This window comes from Homo sapiens, chromosome 13 (genome assembly GCF_000001405.40).
Source record: "Homo sapiens chromosome 13, GRCh38.p14 Primary Assembly".
In the NCBI taxonomy this organism is placed as follows: domain Eukaryota; kingdom Metazoa; phylum Chordata; class Mammalia; order Primates; family Hominidae; genus Homo; species Homo sapiens.
In genome coordinates, this window is record NC_000013.11 from 18,872,484 (window position 1) to 18,883,253 (window position 10,770).

The following is a 10,770-nucleotide window of genomic DNA, read 5'->3' on the forward strand; positions in this document are numbered from 1 at the left end:
CCATCTGCATTTGAGAAGTATTATAAAACTGTATGTTATGTCCAATAATCAAGAAATCTCTTGAATTTTACCTAATCCCCATTTGACAATACTATTTGTGGCAAACATTAACATTTGAGGAATTAAGAGTTTTAGGGGTACAGTTGCCAGAGCTTCCCAATGCAGGTGGAGGTTTTTTCTGGGTGGTACAAACTTGCCTGATTCACTTCTATCAATGGTGTCAGGATCCCAGATGCGAATGTCAGGCACTCCTGCTCCAAATGGGTCACTATGGAAATGAGCTTTGAATTAAGAGAGATTGGCTTCAAATGCACTTATTTTCCTTATTATTAAATAGTCCATGGGTTTTTTCCCTAATACAAGAGAATAGATTTTTATCTTTACTGTTTGAAAGCTCAGTATGTTCTGTGTAAGAGAAATAGGTTTAAAAAACTTAAGAACAAATATTTAAAAAACCAAAGCTCAGTAAGAAATACTATTCTCAATTATAATGGTAATCCCGGGACCCCAGGGCAGCTCTACTTTTTAAATCCATTTTTATTGGCTTCCACTTAAAGGGCTACTTAAAATTATTTTTTATTTTAGACAAAATATAAATCCGAAATAAAAACATAATGGCTTATCAAAAAAATTCTCATACTGATCCATATGAATTATTTCTCGCATAATAAAAGCCAGTAAGTCACTTGCATTTCTAAGGAAGAGCACTGAGGAGAAAGATGTAATGTCTGCAATATTCATAAATTATCCAACTATAACCAGGAATAACCTAAAAAGGCTTCTAGGCATTCTTATGGGCAGATAATTATTTGTGGTATATATAAAGAAAAGAGTTTCAAAAACTTCTAAATTCTAAAATTCAACTCCATAACTGAGGGATTTATATACTCTATAGACTATATATTATAACAAATACGTGCTGACTTAAAAACCTTGAAATCTTTATCGAAATATACTATAACATAGGAGTTGTAAACTCAGATACTTACAAGGACAAAGGAAGGTTGCCTGAGTAAAGGAAGTACTAAGGTGGGCACAGTAGGAAACTGGAGAATACCTGCCTTCTCTAAAGGGGCAACCTCTGCACAGCAGACCAAACAGTGATAGAAACTCAGGGGACACCAGATTTGATTTTTTTGAATAAGCCTGAAGTCCAGATATCTACACCAGTCTTCTAAATTTTACATGTTGATTCAACTTACAGAGGCAAACAAACAAATCTGTGTACCACATTAGAATATAGCCCTTGTGTTTTTATATTCGCTATTAAAGTGTTACTAAATGGTTGTGTATAATCCAAGTATTTGCATGTAAAATATTTTCTTTCTCTAGTATCATGTTTTACCAAAAAATCAGACTCTCATATATAATAAAAATTGCTAAAAAAAAAAAGACTCATAATACCTGCTTCGAGAATTTTTCCAACATTTATTCATTTAAAATATATTTGTATATAATTTTCCCAGATTGTTAACCAAATAGATAATTGGTTCATAGGACTGCTAAAACTAAATTATTAAAAGAATTCATATCTGTATTTTTATTAACTCCATGGACTTCAGTGTTTAAAACTGACATTTTGGTTATGCTAAAGCTCTATAAACTTAGCAAACATACTGAGCTAGTTCATAATACAACTTCAACTAAAAAAAATAGTTTAGGATTTGCTACTATTCTAATTGAGAAAGCCCAACTTGTAATGAACATTTGTTGACACATAATCACCTGCATGGTGACAAAGGGACATCAAATCATGAAAGGATCAGCCTCTACCTATTGAAAGATTACCCATAAGCAAATTTCTAAAGACTCTGAATGGTAGTGAATGATTAATTGTGGGAAGGAAAAGGTGTTATTCTGTAAGCTGAGAGATATTGCCAATAATATTTCCTTTCACTTCCCAGTCACAGACGTAGAGAAAGACAGATAAGTCAGGCTAATATTACTGAAAAGGAGAACTTTGAAGTAGCACCTATCAAACGCCACTTCTTCTAGAGATTTCTTATGTTTCTGAGATACAGAAATTTATAGGTTGCAATTATCTATTCTGGGGTTCTTAATCAGGAGTGTATCCAAACCTTGAGGGGTTTTTTTGTTTATTTTTTTGCTGTTATTGTTGTTAGAGGCAAGTCTCACTATGTTGCTCAAGCTGAACTCAAACTCAGGCTCAAGCTGGGACTACAGGAACATGTCACTGTGCCTAGCTTCAAGAAAACGTTTTTAAAAATATTCAGACCTTATTAGGTGTATTACATCAAAATCCCTGTCACCTTTTCACTACCACCCCCCGCCCCCGCCGACCCAGCCCCAAATCCCCTATCCAACCCCAAATCCCCGATCCAACCCCCAATCCGCGATCCCAAATCTATGATCTCCAAAATCCGCGATCCAGCCCGGTCCACCACAGCCTTCAGCAGCGACACTCGCAGCCTCTGACCTCTCAGACCTAGTGAGCCTGGCAAAGCCGTTGGGCGCGCGCCTGCACCGCGGTGGCCGCCGGGCTCCCGGAAGTCGCTGGGAAGCGGCACGCGCTGGCAGGTGGGGCTGCAGCTGCGGGCGGGCACTGCTGGGCTCGCCGGTTCTACTGGGCTCGCCTGGGCGGCCCCAGAATCGCACGCGCGCAGCCAGCCCGGCCTGAGGAGGAGGGCCTGTCTGCCCTTGCGGCCCGCACTGCTTCTCCTCGGAAGGGAGATCGGGTGCTGGCAAGGGCACTTCGCGGCCACCGGAGTGTCCTTCAGGGCACCCCCCCCCCGATAGCGCCCCTAACCCGCCGCCCGCTGTTGGCCCCGGGATGGCGCCCCTAACACCCTCCCCTCGCCGCTGCAGCGTAGAACCCAGTAGCTCCCCCAACCTCCCCGCCTCAGACGCTGCAGCACCAGATAACTCCCCCAACCTGCCCCCTGCCGTGGGCCATGCAGCCACGGATTGGACCCGCAACCAACCCCCCTGCCGCGGGCAGTGACGCCCCAGAAAGCGCTGCAACCTGATCCCCGCCGTGAATAGTGCAGCCACGGATCCTTAAGGCCCCCAACCCGCTCCCCACGATGGGCAATGCAGTCCCAGATAGCGGATAGCACCCCCAACCATTCCCCAGCCGCGGGGTATGATGCCCTGGATAGCGCACCCAGCCCGCACCCCCCGTGGACGGCTTAGCCCCCGACAGCTCCCCTAACCCGTATGCCACTACCGATAATATGGTCCCGATAGCGCACCAAACCTGATCCCCGCCACAGGCAGTGCAGCAGCTGATAGCTCCCCTAACTCGCTCCCATTGACCACAGTACAGCCCCCTAATGGTGCCCACAACCCACACCTCCTCACCCGCCACTGGTGGGGTATCGCCCCCAAACTGTCCCTTGCCGCTGGCAGTGTAGCCCCCAATAGCGCACCCAACGCCCCCCTCTATCATGAGCAGTCTAGCCCGCCACAGCGCCCGAAACCACCCCCTCCAATCACCTCCCTGTACCCCCCTTTCCCGCCCCCCACCCACCTGCAGTGTATCACCGGATACTGCCCCTAACCTATCCCCTGCCATATCCCTGCCATGCATGATATCTCACTGCGGTTTTGATTTGCATTTCTCAAATGAACAGTGATGTTGAGTTTTTTTCATATGATTGTTGGCTGCATAAATGTCTTTTTTTGAAAAGTGTCTGTGTGTCTCCTTTGCCCACTTTTTTGGTAACCCTCAACTTTCATAGATTTTAGCAACATAGAAAATAGTCCTGTACAATAGAAAAATAATAACAGTGGCTGCACAGGTTGCATGACTACCATCAGGCACAGAAGCCTTTTAAAGTACATTATGTATCTTATCTCACTTAATTCTCTTCACAACCTCGTGGGGTAGGTACTATTACTAAGGCCAGGTGACTAGAAAGAAATAAAATTAAAATGCTATTGAACAAGTTCTTAAAATCTCAAAGGAGTAAGAATGACTTTTTTCTTTAAATGGTCCTTTCTGGAATTCCATAGTGAAAATAAGAATCACTCATTTTATTAACATTTATTGAGCCAATAACAAGAAAGCACATTAATAAGGATATTACATGTATTATTTAATTTTCATAACAAGCCTATGAGTTAAAAATTACTATTATTTTTATTTTACTGATGAGGGAACTGAGGTTTAGTGAGGTTGAGTAACTGTCCACTCAAATAGTAAGAAACAGAACCAAAACTCAACGTCCTCCTTATGTCAGTTTGTTTACAAAGTTTTATGATATATTTTTAAAGGCTCTATTCTTTACAGAAGAGTGCACGTCCTTTAAAAATTCATGCACATCCTATTGTGCAAAAGTTTCCTTAGGTATATAGCGATAAGTGGTACTGAGAGATCACAGGAAATACGCATGTTCAACTTCACTATGAAATGCCAATCAGCATTCCGCAGAAGTGTTACAATTTACACCCTCATCAAAAGTGAAGGAGAGTTTCTGTGGCCCCACATTCTTGCCAGCACCTGATACATTCTCATAGTTCAATTTTCTCTAATTTTATAGTTTTAATTTTCTTTACCCTGGTTAATGAGATTGTATATCTTTTCAAATATTGATAGAACATTTTTGTTTTGTCATCTTTGAAGTTTGTGCTCATTGATTTTTTTTTCATTTGTCTATTGGGTTTTCTTTTCCTTTTTTTTTTCTTTTTTGATTCACAGAAGTATCTAGATACACTACACACTAACCCTTTGTTGTTTACATGTATTGCAAATATCTCCTCCAAGTTTGTAGCATTTTTTATTCAGTCTCTTTATGGTACCTTTTAGGAAAGAGAGATCATTGGATATTTTCCTTTATGTTTTGTGCTTTTTGTATCCGTTTAAAGAAATCTTTCTCTACTAAGAGGTCCATCAGTTGCGAGGTTTTCTTCTAAACATATTATAATTTTTCCTTTTATCTTCCTGAATTTGGTTTGCATGTGGATGTGAAGTAGAGATCTATGATATATATTTTCAGAGCCCCACCCATACTCCTTAGCCCCTCCCAGATCTCTCCCAGAGCTCACCCAGAACTTTAGGGAAGAAGAACTCTACATTTGGTTTTCTACCTTAGGCATCTGATTGAGGGTATTCTCCGGCTACTGAGGCAGGTTTGGCTCATACACAGAACTGTCTGGAAAAGGACCAAAGTCCCAAGAGTGACCATCAGCCTAAGAAAGAAAAGTATCCCAACTTCTTCCTATGTATGAAGTTCCCCACAATGCTAACCAACCTCATTCAGCACAATGATAACCAACTTTCAACATACATGCCTTCACCCCTGAACGGGACAATTGTAAGGTACTTTTTACAGTGTCTCGGAGATTCAGAGTAGACTTGAGCCCTTGTTCTCCACAATGGTAACCAACTTATTAACATATATTTTATTATTTTTCCCTCCTCTAATTTATTTCCTCACTCACTGACTTGCTTCCTGAGATCACCTACCAAATAAATATTTTTATTTGAATTATTGGTTCAATTTTGGTTATTGCAGTAACCCAAAATGTTCTAGAAAGCAAACCTTCATGATGAGATACTCTAACTAGGTTACTTGCCAGTCAGATGGCAAAGGGTTTTCATTGCTACAATAAATGGGATGGTAATGAACACTTTTATGCTTCAGTATCGCTTTACTGAGACTCTCACCTATGGTGGACTCAGAGGAAGCACAGGTAAAAGAGAAAACACTGACATATACATATTTATATATATATATATATATAATATATATGCATTCTACAGAAGTTCTACAATTTGCACACACACACGTGTGTGTAAGTCTGTGAGAAGTGATGTTGGCTGGGTTTTTCAACTACAGTGGAAGGATGAAAACAAACAAAAAACAGGCTCATGTCACCCAAATATTAGCTTAGGGCCTGCTATGAAAGAAGAAGGCCTCTACTGTGTCTTTAAAGAGACTCTTACCTCCTGCAGCCAGAAGGCAGAATATGCTGAAAATCAGGATTAATATTTGTTTGTAAGGATGCTAGGAGTTAAGAAGCAGCTGAATTAATAGCCATTGCAAGTCTTCTATGTCAAAAATAGAGACGAATCTCAGAGGGAGATATCTGAGCTCCTAGATTGCTCTGAGTGCTATGGGCCAGCAGAAGAAGACCCCTCTCCCTTGCTAGAGAAGAGCAGATTCCGTAATTTCAAAACCACAGAAAGCTGATGATTCACAAGATGAGTTTGTTCTCCTCAATACAAAACAATTAAATAAAATTCAATGATACAGTAAATTCAATGTCTCACCTTATTGATTATATCTAGGTTCCTGGAGCCAGTCCAGATACACTGCTAGAATGGCACCTTGCTGCTTGGAAATGATGCTTCCACATCAGTAGCTCTCAAAGTGTGGTCTACAAATCCCTACATGTCTTACAAACCTTTCTGGGAGTCCACAAGGTCAAACGATTTTCAAACTGAGATGTTTTTTGCCTATTCTGCTTGGTTGACATTTCCACTGAGAGTAGCAAAGCAATGGTGTATTAAATTTCTGGTGCCTTAGCAAAAAAGTTAAAGCAGTGGCACCACACTGCACTAATATTCCTCACTGCCAATTTTTACGGTCAGTTTTTCGAGGGTTTTATTTCATGAAGCAGTTGAAATCATTATTAATTTTTAAAATTGATCCTTGGGAACATGTCTTTTTATTTTTTATTTTTTTATATTCAATGTGACAAGAAGTATGCATAGAGGTTTTACTGCATACCAAAGTATGAGACTTTTATCAAGGGAAAGCACTTCTGAAATTATTTCAAAATTATTTCCATAAAGGGGCTGAACAAGCCCCTTTAATGGAACAACACTTTGCCTTGAAATAACAATTGACAGGCATATAGTGGTTATTCGGACTTGGTTATTTGGCAGTCATTTTCCCAAAAATGAACGAAGTAAGCCTGCCACATCAAAGAAAACAACTGATAGTATTTGTGACCAATGATAAAATTGGAGGCTTCAAGTAAAAATTAGAACTGTGGCAAACTTCTATGTTACACCTTGAATTTGACCCACTTCTCAGTACTTAAAGACTTTTTAATGAGACTGGTGATTTTATTAAATAATGTGACTTTTAAAATATTGTACAATGGAATACATCAACATTTTGAAGATCCATATAACTCAGTGAGCTAATATTTTCCAAATGTGTGATGTTACAAGACCATGCATAGCTAAAGAATTTATTTAAGTTTCGTGATAGACCAGTGAATTTTAATCCAGCAGAAGATGAAAAGTTCATGGAAATTATTTCAGATTCCCTATCACAACTGTGCTTTAAGAAACTACTTGCCATGTTTTTGTGTACTATTGAAGAATATTCACAACTATTTGAAAAGGCTATTATAGTATTCTTCCCTTTTCCAACTACATATTTTGTGAAGCTTGATTTTCTACATATATGTCAGCCAGAACAGCATTTAAGTACATACTGAATCCAAAAACAGAAAAATCTAGCTATCTTCTGTTGAGTTTGGATCAAAAGGCTTGCAAAACGTAAATGAATGCCACTGTTCTCACTTTTATTTTATATTTAAAATTTGTCATAAAAATATATTAGATAAAATACATAAGCTTTACAGAAATGGAGTGCTCGCTTCAGCAGCACATATACTAAAATTGGAACAATACAGAGGTTAGCATGGTCCCTGCATAAGGATGGCATGCAAATTGGGGAGGTGTTCCATCTTTTTTTATTATTACAGTAGTCTGTATTATTTCATATCCAAAAAACAATGATCAGTATGAAGAATGGGATGAACTAATCAATACTGTGATTGAAGACAATAGCATTATTTGCCTGGGAAACTAAAGACAAAACAACTGGAAAACTATTGAAATTGTTGAATGAGTCAATTTGCTACTTATGGAATAAACATACACTGCATTCACAGTAACATATACTATATATTATGGAATTAAAATCACATTTCTGGCTGGGCACAGAGGCTCACGTCAATAATCCCAGCACTCTGGGAGGCCAAGGTGGGAGGATCACTGGAGCTCAGGAGTTCAAGACCAGCGTGGGCAACATAGTGAAATTTCCAAAGAATAGGACTAACTCCACGTGTAGCATCTACATGTGGACAAATATGAGTGTTTCCTGATTAAATAACCTAAGTGTCACCCCATGAATGCATGTATACAACTTTGTTGGATTTAAGGCTCCTCATCTCAACCCCACTGGAGGCAAACACTATAAATGTAAATTATTCAAGAAAGTCTCATCCAAATTAATTCACGTAAAACAAAAACAAAACAAGAAAAATTTGCCACATCAAGGTAATGCTATAAAATGTGTAACTACTGTCTTCATCAGTGACTCACTTATAAAGTAGATCTGAACTATGGATTACTACTACTTACTTTCATAAAAAAAAAGATGTGAGATATTTTTGTAAATTTTCTTTACCCAAAGGTTCACTGCAGCCATAAAAAACAACAAAATCATGTCATTTGCAGCAACATGATGCAGCTGGAAATCATCATTCTAAGCTAAACATTGGGTAAAGGTGGACATAAACATGGGAACAATAGATATAGGGAAATAACAGAGAGGAGAGGATGGGAAGGAGTGAAGGTTCAAAACTACCTGCTGGGGGCTGGGTACGGTGGCTCATGCCTATAATCCTAACACTTGGGGAGGCCGCAGTGGGTGGATTGCTTGAGTCCAGGAGTTCGAGATCAGCCTGGGTAACAGGGCAAAACCCAGTCTCTACAAAAAATACAAAAATTAGCAGGGCATGTGGCCCACCACTGTAGTCCCAGCTACCCAGGAGGCTGAGCTGGGAGGATCGACTGAGCCCAAGAGGTCAAAACTGCAGTGACCAGTGATTGCAACATTGCACTCCAGCCTGGGGAGCAGAGACCTACCCTGTCTCAAAACACTAAAACAAAACTACCTACTGGGTGCTATGCTTACTACCTGGGTGATGGGATCAATTGTACCCCAAACCTCATGTAATACACCCATGTAACAAACCTGCACACTATTATTATTGGGAGAAAAAGAGCTAATTTAGAACAATATATATAGCTTGACCCAATTTGAGGAAAAATTTTACATTTGTTTATTTGTTGATAACAACTATCAATAAAGGACTAAAACTGTGTACTATTCGTTCATATAACTGAATACTACATAGCTATTAAAATTAATGAAGTAAGGCAGGTGCAGGGGCTCACACTTGTAATCCTAGCTACTCAGGAGGCTGAGGCTCAACAATCACTTGAAACTGGGAGATGGAGGTTGCAGTGAGCCAAGATTGTGCCACTGCACTACAGCCTGGGTGACAGAGCAAGACTGTTTCAAATAATAATAATAATAATAATACACATATATCAACATAAATGTCATTTTTCAAATTATAGAATGTATGTACTAAAATATCACATAAATTTGAAACACAATACTACATGTTAAATATATTTAAATATTTGTAGGAAGAATATAAGTGCATGAAGCTAAAAAGTAACTTCTACATAAGAAAATAGGATCTGAGAGGATGACAAAAGGGACTCCAACCGTATGCATATTTTAATTTTTAAAAACAAATATAGGCCAGGCACAGTGGCTCACCCCTGTAATCCCAGCACTCTGGGGGGCCAAGACGGGCAGATCCCGTGAGGTCAGTTCGAGACAAGCCTGGACAACACAGTGAAACTAAAAATATAAAAATTAGCCGGGAGTGGTGATGAGCTCATGTAATTCCAGCTACTCAAAAGGCCGAGGCATGAGAATCGCTTGAACCTGGGAGGTGGAGGATGCAGTGCGCAGATATTTTGCCACTGCACACCAGCCTGGGCAACAGAGTGAGACCCCATGTCAAAAATAAATAAATAAATAAAAACATATATAAACACATCTTTGAAGCAAATCTGACAAGATGTCAGCATCTATTAAATCTACTGAATGGGGCGGGCGCAGTGGCTCATGCCTGTAATACCAGCACTTAGGGAGACCAAGGCAGGCAGATCACGAGGTCAAGAGATGGAGACCATCCTGGCCAACATGGTGAAACCCCGTCTCTACTAAAAATACAAAAATTAGCTGGTCGTGGTGATGTGTGCCTGTAGTCCCAGCTACTCGGGAGGCTGAGGCAAGAGAATCGCTTGAACCCAGGAGGCAGAGGTTACGGTGAGCCAAGATTGCACCACTGCACTCCAGCCTGGGCAACAGAGTGAGACTCCATCTTAAAAAAAAAAAAAAAAAGAAAAGAAAAGAAAAGAAAAAGAAAAAAAATCTACTAGTACATGGTGTTTGTTAAATTATTCTCCATTATTTTTCTAAATTTTTGAAATATTTAAATTTTACTTTAAAAAATAAGCTGAGGTTGTGGAATTCAGAGACAGACAGATTCTATATGGGATTTGTAGATTCTTTATGGGATTTGTGTGTGTGTATTTGACAAGCCTGTTATTCTGTACTATAAAATTTCTAACTAAAAAATATACATATTATTAGGTTGGTGCAAACGTAACTGTAGTTTTTGCATTGTTGAAATTTGCTATTTGATACTGGAATACGTTCTTAAATAAATGTGGTTATTTATACATCATTTTAATGCACATTTCTCACCTTTTTTTGCTAATAATGTATTATTTGGTGTTTTTTTTTAGACTATGGAAATTATGTTAGACAAAAAGCAAATTCAAGCAATTTTCTTGAGTTCAAAATGGGTCATAAAGCAGTGGAGACAACTCGCAACATCAACTACACATTTGGCCCAGGAACTGTGCGGTGGTGGTTGAAGAAGTGCTGCAAAGGAGACGACAGCCTTGAAGACGAG

General features: G+C 39.4%; 1 pseudogene; it reads left to right on the forward strand.

The window, feature by feature from the left end:
* On the forward strand, window positions 7,571–7,674 carry RNU6-76P (RNA, U6 small nuclear 76, pseudogene; annotated as a pseudogene).